Below are 19,582 nucleotides of genomic sequence, written 5' to 3' on the forward strand. Positions count from 1 at the left end.
AGTAGAACTCATCCTTACCATTATCCTCTTCTCTTTCCACACTGAATGTTTATTGTATACACTGGAGGTGAATAAACATCTTTTGGGCTTAGGTTGCTGGTCTGTCTTCACTTGGCAAAAGAGTTTACCTCACCTAGCTGTGCTGGTCTAAGAGGTGAATGCAGCAAACAGATGAGATTTAGATTGTCTCTCTATAGGAAGAAGGTGAGTGTGTTTGGATTATTAGTGAGATTTTGTAATTTAAGATATGGGGAATACAGTGTGTATGAAAAAAAGGGCAGCCAGAAAAAGGTAGTAAATATTTGTGAGGTTTTTTTTTTTTTACATCGGTTTCTTGTATTTATTTATTTTTTTCCCTGACAATAACAACCTGATTTTCCTTTGAGAAATTACCCCTTTCTCACCCTCAGCCCATTTGGTTTCGGTGGTATTAATACTACTTCTGCCTACAGGGATAGACATTTGATTCAGGCCTGGCCAATCAGTACACTGTACCTCCTTGGCCAAAGTGATTGTTCAGGGATGGGCACACACCCTAATTAAAGTCTATGAGACACACAGTTAGGTCTTTTGAAAGGAAAACATTCACTCTGTTTATGCTGAACATGGACTTATGAGGATGTTAAATCTGGAGGTTGTCAACCACTTTGCCAATATAAGAGAAGGGCATGCCCAAGGATGGAGACAAGACACAGGGAAGCAAAGGCGAGAGACATAAAGGAACCAATTCTTGACATTGTTGAGCTGCTGTATACAGCCATACCTAAACTAAATATCTCCCAGAAGTTTTAGTTATGTTAAGCAGTACATTCTTTTTTCTAAGCCTGTTGGAGACATGTTTTCTTTCCATCCTTTCTCCCATCCTTCTATCCTCTTTTTGCTGAAAGAACCCCAAAAGAAGTTTCTATATATGTATGCAGTATTGTATATATTATTTTCTCTTTCCTACCCTTCCTCCTTCCCTTTTGCTGAAAGAATCCTAAGTATTGTAGAAAGCATTTGTATATTCTTGCACATCCTAGAGCTGAAGATGACTTACATTTGATAAAAGGGAATTTAAGATGCTATTTATGTAAACAAACAGAAGCTCTCTATTTATATTATTGCATGCAGATCAGCATTTTGGTTTTAAAAACCTAAGCAACAGCATTTTGATTTTAAAAATCTAAGGTCAATATGTTTTCTTAATTCTCATGGTACAAGGTTTTAGTTATTTTATTGCTGCCAATGAAGCTGATCCTAGGACACTCCTGGTACTTCATCTATGATATTTGGCTCTGTGTCCCTACCCAAATCTCATCTCAAATAGTAATCTCCATGTGTTGAGAGGGACCTGGTGGGAGGTGATTGGATCATGGGGTGGTTCCGCCATGCTGTTCTTGTGATAGTGCAGGAGTTCACATGAGATCTGATGGTTTAAAAATGGCAATTTCCACTGTGCATTTTCTCTCCTGCCATCACATAAGACGTATCTGCTTCCCCATTTGCCTTCCACCATGATCGTAAGTTTCCTGAGGCCTCCCAGCCATACAGCACTGTGAGTCAATTAAGCCTCTTTTCTTTATAAATTACCCAGTCTCAGGTAGTATCTTTATAGCAGCACGAGAACAGGAACTTAAGGATATTAGAAGCTGTTACACTGCCATTTACAAATCACAGAAGTTCATTAATATATACCCAATGGAGTATATTACTCAAAGTACTGATTTTCTCCTAAAATAAAATTTCTTTATTTTAGAAAGGATGCTAATGAGTCTTTTTTTGGCTAATTTTCTACTTAGTTTTGGAAGAAAATCTAACACAGGGTTTTAGAGTTGAAAGGGAATAGTGTTATTTCAGCCCCAAACCCTTTTTTTTGGGGTGCAAAAACAGTCACAGAAATGTAAAAGAGAAATTGTGGATAAAATGGTTAACAATTTGAACAGCCTTTGGCAACTAAAGGTTGGGAAGGAGCTGAGCTTTTCTCTCTTTCGTACTTACTTTTCCACTCTCAGTTCTACTTCCATGGCTACACAATGGGGTTCATAGATAATTTTGTAATTACACATTTTTCTCTTAATCTGTATATACATTATTTATTTTTTTAAAATGTGGATTTTATTTCCTATCTGACCTTCCAGGCTCATTAGAATAGGGACTATATAAAAATGTGAATTTCAGGCTGGGTGCAATGGCTCATGCCTGTAATCCCAACACTTTGGGAGGCCAAGGGGGGTAGATCATGAGGTCAGGAGATCGAGACCATCCTGGCTAACACGGTGAAACCCCATCTCTACTAAGAATACAAAAAATTAGCCGGGTGTGGTGGCGGGTGCCTGTGGTCCCAGCTACTTGGGAGGCTGAGGCAGGAGAATGGCATGAAACTGGGAGATGGAGCTTGCAGTGAGCAGAGATCACGCCACTGCACTCCAGACTGGGCGACAGAGCTAGACTCCATCTCAAAAAAAAAATTTTCAATTTCATTATAATTTCATTATTGGTTTATTAATAATGCTAATAACAAAGACAATGTCACATACTTTTTTAGTAGAGGGGAAAGGGATAATGAGAGCTTAACAACATATTTAGACAGCAGTGCAGGAGAATTTGGAATGGTTCTTCTTGCCTCCTCTAAAGACCCATCTTACTCTCAACCTCCTTGACTCTCAAGAAGGGCTGTGTAAATATGTCCAGTCGGGCTGTGTTTACCTAGCCTGTGTTCACTAGCCGGTCTGACCAAATGCCACACAGCAGGCCAGGCAAATGCCCACAGTGCCTGCGAATTAGGTTGTATTTCCCTAGTATTTAGTAGATGCCATGCATATAGAATGTTAATACAAACTTTTTAAGTCAACTAAAGAACACTGTGACAAGTCAACATTTCACTCGTTCAGAAGCTTCCGAGAGACTAAACTTGCCTTTAAGTACCCATTATTATGAATAGTTTTCAGAACTTTGTATAATGAAGCAACAATATTGTTGATAACTGAAAGTATGATTTCATACAGGATAACGATTTCTGAATTTTTTTTTTTTTTTTTTTGAGATGGAGTCTCGCTCTGTTGCCAGGCTGGAGTGCAGTGGCGCAATCTGGGCTCACTGCAACCTCCGCCTCCCGGGTTCAAGTGATTTTCCTGCCTCAGCCTCTCGAGGAGCTGGGACTACAGGCTCCCACCACCACACCTGGCTAATTCTTTGTATTTTTAGTAGAGATGAGGTTTCACCATGTTGATCAGGATGGTCTCGATCTCTTGACCTCGTTATCCACCCGCCTTGGCCTCCCAAAATGCTGGGATTACAGGCGTGAGCCATCACGCCTGGCCTACTTCTGAATTTTTTTAAACAGTTTTTTACACATGAAATTATACGCAATACAACATACTTGTTTTACAAGTTGAAATCTTTACCGTTATGGTACGTTTACAGTAATGCAGGTAACATTAGCGCATTCACTTAGAGCAGAGTTATTTATCTTCATAGGGCTTAATACAAAGCCAAGACCGAATTACTTGCTTAAACTGCTTTCTAGTCTTTGACTTAAAACAAAAAAGAAAAATTGCTTCTACCTCCTCTCTATGTCAGGATGATAAACAATGCCAACAATTAAGTGGTCTGGTATTTCTAAAAATGGCAGATTGTATTCCAATAGCTCTTAAGTTGTAAATCTTAAGGTTTTAGCTAAATATGTCTATCAAATTGTCATTATCTCTGCTTTCAGGAAAATTATGTCACCTTTGGTAATAGGCTGCTAACAAACAAACTACAGACTACACATCATGTTTTCCCAAAGAATCCTGTATTTTAATGAATAGCTGAATAAATAGACATTAATTATGAAATTCACATTAAGATAGAAGAAAATCCAAACATTCTGATTGCTTTATCTCTTAAATTTGATAACTACTACAAAACATACTATTTATGTTAGGGTAAAAATAAGCTGACTCACAGGAGTGTAACTGGGAAGTGCTGGCAGATATATACAGTAACATGGAGGAGCCATACAACAAAAGCGTTTATATGTACATCATTTTTTTTCTTTTTGTATGGAGAAATGCTGCCTTATAAAATCGGAAAACACACAGTAGACTACATGCAACAAGGACCAATACAATGTGCACAGCAGAAGAATCAAATAAGACACAAGAACTATGGGTTTAAAAAAGAATTTGGGAGCAGGACAAAAAACAAGGATTGAAACCTGGAATGCTTTCTTATTGAGGTTTCAGAATATAAATTTGTCTAACAAGCCTCTTGATAGTTTTCAAAAGTTCCCACTCAACCACCTATGGTTTAAGTGTAGAGCTAAAAATAAACCATCATATTATACAAAACTTTGCATATTAGCATACAAAAGGTAGCAATTTACTTTTTGTATAAAATATAACCTTTTGATAGTATATTTATTTCACATATGTATAAATATAACCCAAAGAATATGTTTGAAGTATTTCTACCAAAATATTCTTTACAAAAGTTTACAAAACAAGTAATTTATTTATATTTACAAACTAGCACAGGGAAGATTCTGGGCCAGTGATGTTGGTATTGTAAAGAAGGAGAGTGCTTCCAGACATTTTAAAGACTGGGAGACAGCTTTGCAGAATTTTCAAAGTGTGTTCTTTTTCTTTGAACAGATATTGAAAGACTTGATTATTAAATAACTTCAGCTAAATTACATTTGATATTTGAATATGTGAGCATAGAACTGAAAGGGCTGAAGATAACCTTTGCTCCTCTGTAATTAGGAAAATGATAGTGATATTTTGCATTCATTCCAAATCAGCACACGTCTTCCCCATTTTACAGCTGATCTGGATGTGGACACTAAGGTTAAATGACTCAACAAAAACTCTTTAATACAGTGCTCAGCCCTGAGGGACAAAACCTGGATATGAAGAGTCCATCTAGCATGTGGCAATGATTCATCACATCAGGGACAAAAGAACAAACAGAATGCTCCTAACAGACCACATTCCATTTTGTTGCTCACCCAAATCCAAATAATACGTCCAATGAAGGACAAATTGTTTTCCCTCTTGATTATGCGTTCCTTCAAACTCCGTGAAATACATTTGTACACACTGGTACTTGCCATCCCTGGTTCTTATCTCCAACCAAAACATGATATTTTCTAATCTCGGTTTTCTTCTCCAAACTTCCTTTTCTTATAAACCAGCCTCAGTCATCAAAATGAGTAGGGAGGACGAGGTTCAATTTCACTCAGCTTGGGAACAAACCAGCAGGCATCAATCATAATAAGCAACATCCCAGGTTATTTGTAGCCAAATAAATCTTATTTATAGCAATGTCCACTGGGTTTTTTAAAAAAGTGAAATCTAATGCAGAGAGGTGTGCACCAATATTTCAGTATGATTAGGACAAGTCTTTGTTATATCTAAAATTTCATTTGGAATGGATTCAGATATTCGTTGTGGAAGCCAAAATCAAATTGCACAGCTCTATATTTTTGTTTAATCACTAGACACAGCATCCCACTGAAGTAGAGGATTGTGGGAAAATTGTAAAAGTGAGGAGTGAATATGGGGAAGAAATTCTGTAATCCACTGGATGTTTTCTAGGTTCTCTGGCTTTTTCTTAATTTGCATACTGTTTGGTTACTCCAAACAAACCTATAACATTTCAATCTATCCTGCAAGCTTCAGGAAAATTAAATGAAAAGACACAATGGAAAGATTAAACCATACCTATCTATTAGAGCAAATTAAGGAGTTTGTTGCTTGGAACTAGTACCTCCTCATGACATGGGGTTTAAATAAACTACAAGTTCTATTACCTTTTTTATTTTCCAGGGAAAAAGAAACTTGGGAAGGCTATTTTACACAATTAATTACACATTGACACCACAGTTCTGTTTGGATAAATTGGATACTGTATCCTGGAGTTTAGACAGGGAAAAGTGATCCCAATATTTTACTTTCAGGTGTAAGATTTAAAACAAGAATTTGGACCAAAATGTTCATCACTGCAGTTACTTTCTGCTTTCCATTTTTAAGCATGTTATCTTCATGTAGTCCACCTGAACATCAACAGTTCAGCCTCTACAGAGTTTCTGTAATATACTGCCTTTTAGTGCTTGGAGTTTGTAAATTGTCTTCCCTTTCTTCTTTAGGAATTGTTCCCCAAGATTTCATCAAGATTGATGTCTTTCATCCAGTCATCATTACCAGGCTCTGTCTTCAATAAAGAATCAATGAAATCAGCATCACTGTTTAGGGCAGGGCCCATGTTATCATTTTGTTGGCTGAGGAAGTCAAAAGCTAAGTCACTGCTGTGGTCAGTTCCTTGAAAAGCCCTGGAACTTTGGTTGGGTGAAGGAAAATTGCTGGGCGTCAGGGATGGTGGCTGGTTGATGCCCGTCCTCGACTGATTCAACCCTGTTCCTGACTGATTCAAATTAGGCAAAATCTGTGTGCTTAGCTGATTGGGTCTGAGATTCAGACCCCTGAGGGGACCCATGGTTTGCCCATTTAGTGTTTGGCTCATTTGGTTCATGGGTCTCATTTGCACTGCTGGTGTTAACTGGTTAGGAGGAGCCACTGCCCTCTGGGAAAATTGCTGGCTACCTACTGCCTGTTGCAGTGACTGATTTGGGGTATAGGCTGCAGGTGTACCTGTGGGGAAGCGGACTCCTGCAGACGTCAGGGCTTCTTGCTGTTTGCTTGTTCCTTCTTGAGAGGCCCAGTTTGGTGCAGTTGTGTTGGATGTGATCATTACGTTTGATGTTCTCTGTGGTGGCATGCTTGCCATACTATGGGTTAAATTTGGTCTCAATTGTTGTGAATTACCAACAGATCCAGCTCCAAAAGTGGCTACATTGTTATTATTACTTGGCCCTAAGGTAGGTGGCCGTGGCATCATAGGGTTGTTTTGATTTGCTAACAATTGCTTTGGGTTTCTCTGTTGGGTCAATTGATTCATTCCTGAAGTGACACTGTATGTGTTAGGTTGATTACAAGGCAGATTTCCATACATCCCCATATTCTGAACTGCTGTAGATAATGATGGCATTCTTGTCCCGTGAGAAGTAGACAGGAGGCTGGAATTGGGAGTTAAAATGGTGTGTGTTGAAACTGGGTTTGCCAAAGCCTGGTTAGAGTTTAAGCTTATTGTGGATGAGCCACCTGAGAAAAAGAAGAGAATTTTATTAGTTCGTAGCAGCATGTTATCTCCTCTGTAACTGCACTTTTCAATAACTCATCAATCTGAAACTGCTTTCAGGTGTAAGACAATTTAGGCGAAATAATGATCAAATAAATTATATAAAAGGAACAAGACAGCTCTTAGGAGGAAGGAGCACCTGAGGTCACTTTTTGGTTCAGAAGTTTACATATTACAAAAAGAAGACTAAAATAGAATAGTTCTATCTTGTAGGTTTTATTTTATTCCTCTTCTGAAGTCATTGAAGGGAGGTAATAGTCAATCTTCCATTTTGAATTAGCTTTACTATGTTCCAAGTCCAGAGACTACAGTCTTGATTAGTCAGCTCTCATGAAATCCATGTTACTGTTTACCCCAGGTCCAAATGAGAAAGTGTGGATGAATGCTACACACGGCTCCTAGATTAATATTCCCAAACTATGGCCTTGAAAATCATGTCCCATTCTTTGAATCATCCCCATTCAAGAAGCTACCCCAGTGACTCCCCAGTGTTCAAAGGGTAAATCTCCATCTCTTTAAACATCTGGAATTCAGTGCTCTAGAAATTATCTCATAAAGAAATTCTTCAGTTCCAGGAGGTGTAGTTACTATCAAATTGTTACTCAATGCACTGTGAGCCACCTTTGCTTATGGGATTTCCCTTCCTCACTGAGCCCTATATTTTCCTCAAGGTTCAGGCTAAGGCCGAAGCTCCTCCATTAAACTTTCTTTTATCTTCCAGCCTCCTCTCTCCAGCAGTATTTGCCCTTCGAATCTTTCATTTAACACTTAGTATTGGGCAATCTGTGGAGTCTCAAAGTGCCTGCCAGTTAAACTGATGCCTGTCAATAACTGATAGGATATTGACAGAGACCCAGGAGGCAGACAAGGGTCTCCCCCACGCCTTCAAACCTAACACAGCCTGAAGGCTGAAAAACTGGACTGCTGGTCCTGGATGAAGACCGCTTCCGACTGACTCTTTCTGAATAATGCCCACCTGTGCACTGGGAAGACAGGGTGGAGCCTTGGGAAGTTCGTGCCATTTGCAGCAGTGAGGAGCCTGGCCTCTCCTGTTCCTGTGTGGTGACCTGGAATTCAATCTGTGAGGTGGGAAACCTGCTAGCAGGACTCTCTCTCACTTTGCTGAGAGTTATTTTTCCTTTTTGCCGAATAAATTCCATTTTTCCTCATCCTTCCATGTGTCCACGAACCTAATCTTTCCTTGCCATGTGACGAGAGCCTGGTTTTAGCTGAACTAAGGAGAAAGTTCTGCAACAATATGGAACAAGTGCCTAAGCCACAGGCTGTGTAATAAGAGGCTCCACACAACAGATAGTGACTAATCAACATATTGAAATCTTCTTGACTTCTGGAGGTTAAAGTCATCACGAGGAAATATTTTTGGAGGCAAAGATGATCAGGGAGGCCCAGAGAGTCAGAGATTCTGAGAAATACAGAGCTAAATACACATAAGAATATCACAATGTCAGTGGATGGGGAGAGCATGTCTGCAATTGTAAACGTGGGCTATCCCCTGCTGCTTAAGGATACGTAGGTGGTATACATCCTGAAAAACTGAGGGCCAAATGAACACAGTAGCTTTGCTATTTATTTATAAATATGCCCCCAACTAGACTACATACCCCTTGAAGGCAAGAACAGTCTCTTGTATCTCCTTGTATCTGTGTAGTGCATTGTGTAGTGGGCAGTGTTTGATGAAGAGACATAACAGCCAGGTAGGAGACACTTGAACAATAACTGAGATGACATACAATGCCAGTAAGATTCAGCAATATCATCTTTGTATCTGAAAGTTTCATATCAAGGGAATTTATATTATGAAAATGCTGTGGAAAAAAATGTAGAGGTTTTAAAAATTATCACCTGTAGTCGCCCTGTATTTTAATGATATGGCCTGAGAAGGTTTATAAGGAAAACAATCTTTTTAAACAACCAGAATAGAGAGAATTTCCACAAAGATCACAAAATAGTAACAGTTAATGTTTAAAAGCTCCTAACAGGTGACAGAGACTGTTCCAGGTGCTTTTCATACTCCATTTTTAATATCAAAATCTGGGAAAGGTAATCATTATTGTACCAAGATTAAAATAAAAAATGATTTTAAAAAGAGTTTGTATTGCGTTTTGTTGCTTATTTCATCATCAGAAGACATGGGAAACGCAATGCTCTAGAATAATGATTCTGACCCACTTGAGTGTCAGCAGTTGGATGCTAAGGATTTCTCCCTTAGAAAAACACCAATATTCACTGTGGAAGAGACTGCTAGGTGCCTACCCAATATCCAACCTCTCTATATTCCTTCGAAACAGAGCTTTGGTTTTAGAAACAGAGCCTTCTTTAGAAACAGAGCAATGTGCTCAGCTGAAAAACCACATTCCCCAAACTTCCTTGTCGATGGGGTGGGCGGGAGGGTCCAGGTGAATATGTTCTGGCTAAGGGAATCAGATTTCTTTTCTTTCCTCTTCCTACCTGGAATACAGGTATGAGACTAGTGATGTGGTAGCTACCAGGCAGCCCTTAGGATAGAAGCCACATGCTGAAAGAGATGGAGTGGAAAGATAAAAGATGCTTGAAATCCAGCAAGCCAGCCCTAGACTACTGTGCCTGGGATCCTTTTATGTGAGTAGGAAAAGAAAAACCTCAATATCCACCTTGAATTGTGTATAGTATTCCAAAGGGCGCCCAGCTTTTTCAAAGCTCGCTCATAGGCCATGGTATTAAAAAACCATGTTTTAAGTACAGTATGCACTGCATAACAATGTTTGGTCAATGAAGGACTGCATGTATGACAGTGGTCCCATAAGATTATAGTGGAGCTGAAAAATTCCTATGGCTGTATTTTAGAGGACACTCTAAAATAATTATTAAATGCATTCGCTCACCACTCACTGACACCCAGTGTGACTTTCAGTCCTGTAAGCTCCATTCATGGTGAGTGCCCTACACATATGTAACATTTTTTATCTTCCTTTATCATATATAAAAAGCATAGTAAATGTTTTTACTATGCTTTCAATAATTATTTTGGAGTGTACTCCTTCTACTTATACAAAAAGTTAACTGTAAAACAGCCTCAGGCAGGTCTTTCAGGAGATATTCCAGAAGAAGGCATTGTTATCATAGGAGGTGACAGCTCCATGTGTGTTATTGTTCCTGAACACCTTCCAGTGGGTCAAGATGTGGTGGATGACAGTGATATTGATGATCCTGACCCTGTGCAGGCCTAGGCTAATGTGTGTTTGTGTGTGTTTGTGTCTTAGTTTAAAAAATAAAAACAAAAAATTTTTAAAAAATTTTAAGTGAAATAAGCCAGGCACAGAACCATACGTTCTCATCCATATGTGTAAGCTAAGTTGCTCTCATAGAAGTAGAGAATAGAATTGCGGTTTCTAGAGGTGGGGAGGATGTGGGGAGAAAAAGCTAGACAGAAGATGGTTAATGGATACAAAATTACAGCTAGATAGGAGGAATAAGTCCTGGTGTTTTGTAGCACTCTAGGATGACTATAGTTAAGGATAATTTATACTATGTTTTCAAATACCAAGAAGAGGATTTTGAACGTTCCCAACACAAAGAAATGATAAATGTTTGATGTGATGGTTATGCTAACAACACTGATCTGGTCATTACACACTGTTTACATACATCAAAATATCCTACTGTACCCCATATATATGAACAATTATATGTCAATTAAAAATAATTTAAAAATTGTAAGAAAATAGAAAAAAAGCTTCTAGAATAAGGATATAGAGAAGAAATATTTTTGTACAGCTGTACAATGTGATTGTATTTTAAGCTGTGTTATCACAAAAGTCAAAAGTTTAAACAATTTAAAAGTTGTAAAGCAAAGCAAAAAAATTAATGTAAAAGTTAATTTATTATTAAAGAAAGAAATTTTTAAAAATAAGTTTAGTGCAGCCTAAGTGTACAGTGTTTATAAGGTCCACAGTAGTGTACAGTGATGTCCTAGGCCTTTGCATTCACACGCCACTCACTCACTGACACCCAGTGCAACTTCCAGTCCTGCAAGCTCCATTCACGGTAAGGGCCCTATACAAATGTACCATTTTGTATCTTTTTAATTATATTTTACTGTACCTTTTCTATGTTTAGATACACACAAACTTACCATTGTGTTATAACTGCCTACAGTAGTCATCACACTAACATGCTGTATAGGTTTGTAGCCTAGAAGCAATCAGCTATATCATATAGCCTAGGTGTGTAGTGGGCTAGATCATCTAGGTTTGTATAAGTACACTTTATGATGTTTGCACAATGAAATTACCTAACAACGCAATTCTCAGAACATACCCCCAACATTAACCAACACATGGCTGGAAACTGCATCTTATCTTTCAGCCTCCTTGAGACAATCAACTAGAGAATCCTGTTTTTGCTCTGAGGCGAAGTAATCTTAGAGAGTGGAAAACATACATCCCATTCCTAATGTTACTTGTTGTCTTTAGAGACAGTGTCTCAATATGTTGCCCAGGCTGGCCTCGAACTTTTGGGCTCAAGCAATCCTCCCACCTCTGCCTCCAGAATAGCTGGGACTACAGGCACGTGCGACTGAGCCCAGCTCCATTCTCAATTTTAGTTGAAAGAGGCAACCTGTTGTATTTGAGGGGGTTTAAATAAGTCAGGACAACATATTTAAAAGTACACTTAACAGTACCAGGAAGTATTTATAAAATAGGGGTGTTCACAGCCTTTCTTTCTTTAGAGAATCTTCTTTATGGCTTCCTGGACAGATGAAGGTAACAGGTAAGGCAGAGAGAACTTAGGAAACCCAAGAGCGTAAACTTAACTTACATCAAAAAGTGCAGAGCATTTTAGACAGTTTTGGGCAGAAGCGTATTGAATAGTTGCTGAATAGGAGAAGGCAGAGCAATATAGGCTGGGTTTGGGAAAGGTTCTTTTGGAGTTTCATGAGCGGGAGGAGAGAGAATTTGGGGGACTTTTGTACTTACCATTTATTTTATACTGAGAGAGCTATTAAGAAGATTTGCTTTGTGATTTAAATGGAGTTCACCTTTGGTGTTTTTGAGAGACTTCGTGAAAACTAAATCTGCTTTTCAAGTATTCCTTGGTGGCAGGACCATTTGTCTTTGAAGGGGAAACCTTGGAGATGGGCTCAATGGTGGATACAAAAAGACTAGGATTTGTGAAAGTTACACATGTGCCTGTCTAAGAGGGAGAAATGTCTGCTTACCTTCTACTACCTGGGTTAAGGTATATCTTTGGAAGGAGAATGATTGAACCTAACAGAAAAATATTTAGCTCTTTTGAATTCTCAGAGGTAGTCCAGAGAGTGGTGAAATATGTGAGTACAGGGCATGACTAAGCAAAAACTGATGAAAGGACTAAAAAATATTTAACTGTAGTCTTGGCATGAAAGTCAAATGGGAGTTAGAAATTCTAAGAAAGATATTATAATCATATGTGAGTTACAGGGATTATTGAAAATTGAAGTTTTTTTTTCCTTTCACAGCTATAATTTTTATTAATTTTTAAGAACACTTACCAGAATACTGAGCAGTTGGTTGCATATTGCCCACATTTCTTCTTTGGTCTTTATAATCTGGAGGTGGCCTTGACAAATGTCGGTTTATCTGATCTTGTGGAGCAATTTTCTCCTTGAGAAATGATATGAAAGCATATTATGTTGCATCATTCCCTTTTCACTTGTGAAAATACATGTAAAATTTTGTAAAATTTCAGAAAATATAAGAACAATTTTGCAATCATGGGTTACAAATCATGACCTTATTTTGTAGTCTTAATTCAGAGACAAATCTTTTCAATTTCAATAAACTTCCTGTATGGAAGTATAATTTCTACTTTTCCATAACAGTCAACATGTGTTTTGGTTCTAGTAACTACTCCTATTTTCTTTATTTTGCAATTCAATTTCAATGAGAACTAAATTTCTGTGATTTTTCAAGATGCTAATTTCTAATTTTGTCTAAAAACAGACACAAACAAGGTCACTGTGCAACCTCCAAAACACCAAACACCCCCCTCTCTTGTTAAATGAGTGATAGCTACTTCTTTATTCAATGAGAATAGCACATCTGATATGCTTTGGCAGGTACCTACGTAGAATTCTGGTCCCACACAGTGGGGAAAGCATAGGAGGTAGGGTTTTCAGATAAAATACAGAACATGTAGGTATTCTGTATTCTTATTTGTTTTTGTTTGTTTGTTTGTTTGTTTGAGATGGAGTCTTGCTCTGTCACCCAGAGTGGAGTGCAGTGGTGTGATCTCGGCTTACTGCAACCTCTGCCTCCCTGGTTCAAGTGATTCTCCTCCTCCTGAGCCCCTGGGATTACAGGTGCCCGCCATCACGCCCAGCAAATTTTTGTATTTTTTTTTAATAGAGATGGGCTTTTACCATATTGGCCAGGCTGGTCTCGAACTCCTGACCTCATGATCCACCCAGCTCAGCCTCCCAGAGTGCTGGGATTACAGGCATGAACAACCGCGCCCAGCTCTGTATTCTTATTTGTTAAATCTGATGACCCTAGGTAGGAGGAGATGTCAGGAGATAACCAACAGGTACCGATATAGGCACTATATGAATTTTATCTCTTTTTTACCTTCGCATAAACAATTCTTAAAGGTAGGTATGATTATTTCCACCTAAAAAATAAGGAAATTAAAGCCTTGTTAGGCTAAGTAACTTGCTCAAGGTCACACAGTGGTAGAACTGAGACCAAATCCTGAGTCCAAAACTCAGGCTCTTTCCTGACACACAATACGAGGCCCCTTGCTACTCTGTTTCTCAGCTCCCCATTCTAAAAGCACAGGTTTGCTGTCCTCCCTTCATTTCTTCCTTTTGGAATCAGCCTTTTGATCTTTAGAATAGGTGACTTTGGAAGCTAAGAGAAAAAAAAAGAGACATTCTTTTAATATGTCAATATCCTCAGTCAAAGACCACTAGGAACACAGCTGTTGGCTTTATTACTTGTTGCAGCAAGGGAGAACACACATCATGAGGGGTCACAGGGTGTCTCAGTAGGAGAATGTTAGAAAGAATCTGTCCTGAGATTTGGACTTTGAGTGATTTCGGAAGAGTCTAAGGAAATGGGGCTTTGTTCTAGATTGGAAGCTGTCACAAAGTAAAGTCAATTCTAACTGAATAAAGAAGTAGCTATCACTCATTTAACAACAGAGGGGGGTGTTTGGTGTTTTGGAGGTTGCACAGTGACCTTGTTTGTGTCTGTTTTTAGACAAAATTATGAAGTGTTATTTTGTCTCATTTTATCATGGTCTCAGAGTAACCCTGTCTGAGGTTGACATTCTGTAGGATTGTTTATACCCAACAGAGAACAAAACAGCTTGGCTGTGAGTATCATATCAGCTTTGGGAATTAAGGGCTGCTTTTTATCTTGTTTGGTATGGATCAGGGAGTTTTTAGAATGACTTCACTGCAATTTTGTATGCATCCCAAAGCAATCTCAATTTTCAAAATAAAAATAATCAGCATAGGTAGACGGAGAACACTATAATTATAGAAAAGTCAACAAATAGAAAAGAAAACTTTGTAATAGATACATGGGTAAATTAGCTGGAAAACAAATGTGCACTGCCTAACTTAGAACTGACTTAAACCATGTGTTTCTCAGTTTCCCATCACATTCCAAACCTTCTTAGTAGAATAAGTCTACTATAAAGGAGAGGAAAAAGCCTTAAAACAACAACAAACCAAATTTAAATTCTTGTTGCTAAGAAAAAGGCTTGAAAGACACAGTTTTTTGCACATAAGTAATTCATATAAAACACAATTTTGATGAGCTAAGTGTAAATGAATCAGAAACATATGGATTACATTTCTTTTAAACATGGGTTTACAAATTAAGGGAAAAAGTGGTTGGTGAAATGCTCTTTGGTTTTGCCCAAACCCTAAATGTTTAAGAAACAGCTTGAGATGTTCCATGAACCCAAATGTGGTGATGTTCAACCAGCTCTGCTGTAAACTGTTGTGTGAGATGACAGTTTTGATTTTATGCCAGCATGGACTTTCTGAAATCCACTCTTTTCCAAAAGCATCTGTCATTCTTTCTTATGTAATTAGGTGTTTCTACCGTTTATACTGAAGACAGGATGTGTGTGTGTGTGTGTGTGTGTGTGTGTGTATGTGTGAGAGTGAGAGAGAAAGAGAGAGATAAAGAGAAGAAGGTGCTTGACTTCCCATCATAGACTATATTGTAAACCTGGATTTATTTTTATATATCTTCAATCTAATTATTGACTTTTTTTTTTCTTTTGAGATGGAATCTCACTTTGTCATCCAGGCTGGAGTGCAATGGCACGATCTCAGCTCACTGCAACCTCTGCCTCCCAGGTTCAAGCGATTCTTCTGCCTCAGTCTCCCAAGTAGCTGAGATTACAGGTGCCCGCCATCATGCCCAGCTAATTTTGTATTTTTTTAGTAGAGACGGAGTTTTACCATGTTTGTCAGGCTTGTCTCCACCAGAGGCTAAACTGTTGTTCAAAGGGTTTTCATTTATATATATATAATATTTATAGTATATATATTTATATTATATATATTTACATTATTATATATAATATTTATATTACATATATCATTTATATATATATATCCAGAAATTTAGGTTTCTTAAACTACTCGTTCACAAATGACTTAGATTAATAACCTTGCATATGGACATAACACAGAACTGCCATGTTGTTCTTTTGTGCTGAAGAGCAGCAAAGACTAGCCTGCAATACTGAATAGAGATGGCTACATTTTGCAAAAGACTGACATTCCTATTCTGTGCAAGTGTAAACATATAGGCCATTCTTGAGAATACTTTTATGCAATATGAAATTTAATTTATGAACTAATATCTAATGATAACCCAATCTGTTGGACTTGAAAACCCATTATAGAAATCATCTGTTATAGTACATATCTGTTCTGCTTCAGTTTCTCCATCTGTAAAAATGTGAGATGTGGATAATTATAGGACCTCCCTCATATTTCTATTTAATTCTGTGAAAATCCAGCTTGGTGCCTGGCATACAGTAGGTACACAATGCGTGTTGGTAATTACGATGTCCGTTGTAATAAGTACTATTCATGTCTCTTCTTTGTGCTTCATTGGTAGGAGAATAATAGAGAATAAGGATAACAAACTTTCATGAGACAACGTCTCAATTTAGGTGCCTATGTGGCCTTGCCAACTGACTGCAAATGACCACAAAGCATATGCTAATGTACAGTGGTATCAAAGACCACTTCTTCCTGGATATGCTAAAAAGCACAGACACCCTCAATGGTGTCCAAACAAAGAGAAATGTGAATGGTTTTTAAAAATCACAAAAACAGCAGCCTCATTCTCATTCATCTCACAGTTTATGCCACTGCCCTTTGCACCTGTCCTAGTGGTGACTCAACTGGGGCCCAGTGGGAGTTAGCCCAGTGCCAGGCCAGGACCCTCATGGAATGTATATGCTACCACTTCCTTGCCTTTTAACAAGAGCTGAAAATCAACCTCTGTGTGTTATAATTCATGAAATTAGTAGTATTGATGGTAGTGATGAAAGTGTACCCAGTAAGTCAACCTTAGATTACACATTTTTCTCTCTGCTGTCCTTGTTTCTAAGTTCTTTAGCTTATAAGGATAAAAATGGGAGGGGAAGGGAACAGGGGGGAGGACTGGAGTTTTCAAAACTATGATTTCTAGAAGAAACCAGTTGTGTCACTTTGTGATCCAGTCTGTGACTCCCTTAAACCTTATGGCAGTATTCAACGTCATCTGTAATCTTATTTCTCAATATTCCTTATTCCAGGTCAAATAAATTTACTTCTCACTATTTCTTTTCACATGCCCTGAATACGAAACTTATTCCACTTGTAATTCCTTTAAAAGTGTGGTTGTTATACTATGTTTACTTTTTATCAGGCATTAAATATTTCATAATGCAATCTCAAACTCACCAACAAATTCACACCCAGGCTGCACCTTTTGGTGCTCCACCCTCCACCTACAATAGTGGACCCCACCTACTCTATCAGAATCCTACAGTCCTTCAAAATCAATGTCAAATTTTACTTCTTTGGGAGACTATCCTCAATCTTTGCAGGCTGGATTTAATCTTTCTTTCCATTACATTTTCTCTTACTTTTTATACTTTTTACTGTAAAAAGTATACTTTTTTCTCTTACTTTTTATACTTTTTAGTATATTTTATACTTTTACTATAATGCAAATCTGAATCTAGTACTTCCCCTTGTGTTAAATCCTTAAAATCTCTTCTGTTGCTTTTTAATGTAAATTCTGGCCTCTCAAGCCCTATCCTCCTGCTTCTTATCCCATCTTTACCCATCAATTCCCCCTTCTCGTGCACACTCAATACCTTGGCAGGCATAATATGTAGTATCCTTTATTGTCCCTAGGTCTTTGAATATGCTGGTTGTTCTGGCTGAAATAACCCTCCTACTCATCTCTTACTCCACTTTCAGATATTCGGTAGATAGAAAGTTCTTTCTGAAATCATTTCTAGTAGTTACCAGAGTATGGCATTTAATCACATGCATTACAATTGGCCAATTTATCTGACATATCCTCAGTGGGCTCAAGGCTTCTCTAGGGTGAAGAGAGGATTTGCCTTGTTTATGGCTCTCCCCTCATTGCAAATTATTATTTACTGAATAATTATAGCACTTGTGATACCCTGCATTTCTGACTCTCACTACAAAGCTCCTTGAATATAAAATTATTTGATTTTGTTGTTATCTTTTCTGTATACTTTAGCTCTAATTCACCTGGAGATGCTTACTTTTTATTTCATTTGGCCAAATAGTTTGAAGGGAGGCAATGAAACCAGGGCTGAGCAGATAAATACTGAAGGAGGGTTAATGCATGAAGAGTGTGTGGGAAACACAATCTTGTCTTTCTTAAACAGTCAAATATTAGGTTGGTGCAAAAGTGATTACGGTTTTTGCCATTAAAAGTAGTGGCAAAAATCGCAATCACTTTTGCATCAACCTAATATATACAGTGCAAATGGGAAATGTATTTTACATTTTCTTTTAAAAAATCCCCCATTGTGAGTTGCTTTATTTTGGAAGCCAAATCTTGGTTTTGAGGCTCCATGTTGGCTTTTAAAATTGCTTTTGAAACTCTTATCTCTAAAATCAGTTTGGATTTGAGTTGATTCAAGTTCAGTTTACTGTTTCTGCCCCTTAAGCCTGGGGAACAACACTGGTTTCTTTTGCCTGATTCAAATGCCCATGTTGGTTGTTCTAGACATTCCTGGGCTGGGCAGGGCTGGTTAGCAGAGGTGCCATGCATTCCAAGTGTCCAGCAGTTGTTAAATCAAGTTTGGGTTTTTTTTTCTTCCTGCAGTACACTAAATGTATGGAATTATCCTCTCTTACAGTCAGCACACCTTTGTTGCTGTCACGTAAGTAGGCACAGTAAATATAAATGGAAAAGAATAAACTCCCTCTGTTGGGTCAACAGGTTTGTTCAGTAGAAATTAAGAGAAAGTTTTACCGCGTCAGCCAGCATCTGCTGCTGGAGAAGAAGTTGCTGTTTCTGCTCCATGATCTGCCTCTGTAGAGTCTGCTTCTTTCCCATCAATTGCTGATTCAACAGTGATTGCTGGGAGTTCATGTAACCACTTCCAGTGTTTGGATTTGAGCAGGGGTTAGGACTTGGACTGGGGCCTGTGTTCTGGCCTACCACAGAGTGTTGATCCTAAAGAAGAGAAAGGGGGAAGGAAAAGCTACTGTGAATTAAAAAAAGAAAAATGTAGCACAAAGATCATACACTCAGATTCCAAACATTTTTCATCTTATTAAAGATCAAACATGGTTAAATGGGTTGGAGATCAGAGAATCGCTTTTTAAATGTAGAAGAAATAATTGCATAACACAGCAACCAAAGCAGCTGGGTTAATGACATTAGGGCACTGGAAAAGCTCCCATGAGGACTCTGATTGTGGAACCTCCACATTCCAGAAGGTGTTTATGGAACCTCAAAGAAAACTACCATAAAAACATATGGCAAACCTCTCAATTTCTCAGGAATAAACATCATAACCTAACAAATCCTTCCTTTTCCCAAAGTTAGCATGTATCATTGCTGATCCTGCAATGAAAGTCATGTTTTAATTCACGTGTTTAAAAGTTGAAACTATTTTGGACAGAAGGCATTTTGCCTTACCCAGCTTTCTGTGACAGAAAGGCAGGAAGGCCTCTAAGTTTCTGTTTTATAAACTCAAACTTGGAAAGGACTTCACTTCTCAGGGCCTTGTAAATTTTGTTCCGCAGTCAACAATTCAGGTATCTCGGCGCAAGAATCTCAGTAAAAGAATACCCGACACACTGACAATGAGAAAATATTGATTAAAAACTCAACTGTATATCAAATAATATTGGGTATTGGTGAACTGC

The 19,582-nt window shown here is 38.1% G+C and overlaps 1 protein-coding gene across 3 annotated transcripts in view, besides 1 other annotated feature; it reads right to left on the bottom strand.

The window, feature by feature from the left end:
- Positions 1–3,758: 3,758 nt before the first annotated feature.
- The window catches only part of MAML2 (mastermind like transcriptional coactivator 2), a 366,598-nt gene continuing 350,774 nt past the window's right edge, over positions 3,759–19,582 (bottom strand). For all 3 annotated transcript variants that reach the window (NM_032427.4, XM_011543023.4, XM_047427710.1), the window contains exons 3-5: positions 18,681–18,884; positions 12,692–12,803; positions 3,759–7,124 (exon numbers count right to left, since the gene is read on the bottom strand). In NM_032427.4, the coding sequence (NP_115803.1) occupies positions 6,109–7,124; positions 12,692–12,803; positions 18,681–18,884 (1,332 nt within the window). In that variant the 3' untranslated portion in view covers positions 3,759–6,108. The remainder of the gene's footprint in view (positions 7,125–12,691; positions 12,804–18,680; positions 18,885–19,582) is intronic.
- Positions 11,910–13,109: an enhancer, noted in NCBI's record as "MED14-independent group 3 enhancer chr11:95717913-95719112 (GRCh37/hg19 assembly coordinates)". NCBI's record gives its function as "activates an origin of replication core promoter dependent on BRD2, BRD4, P300/CBP and CDK7 cofactors, and independent of MED14, by STARR-seq in HCT116 cells {active_cell/tissue: HCT116}" and the evidence as "EXISTENCE:reporter gene assay evidence [ECO:0000049][PMID:35650434]".

Source organism: Homo sapiens, chromosome 11, assembly GCF_000001405.40.
Source record: "Homo sapiens chromosome 11, GRCh38.p14 Primary Assembly".
Taxonomy (NCBI): Eukaryota; Metazoa; Chordata; class Mammalia; order Primates; family Hominidae; genus Homo; species Homo sapiens.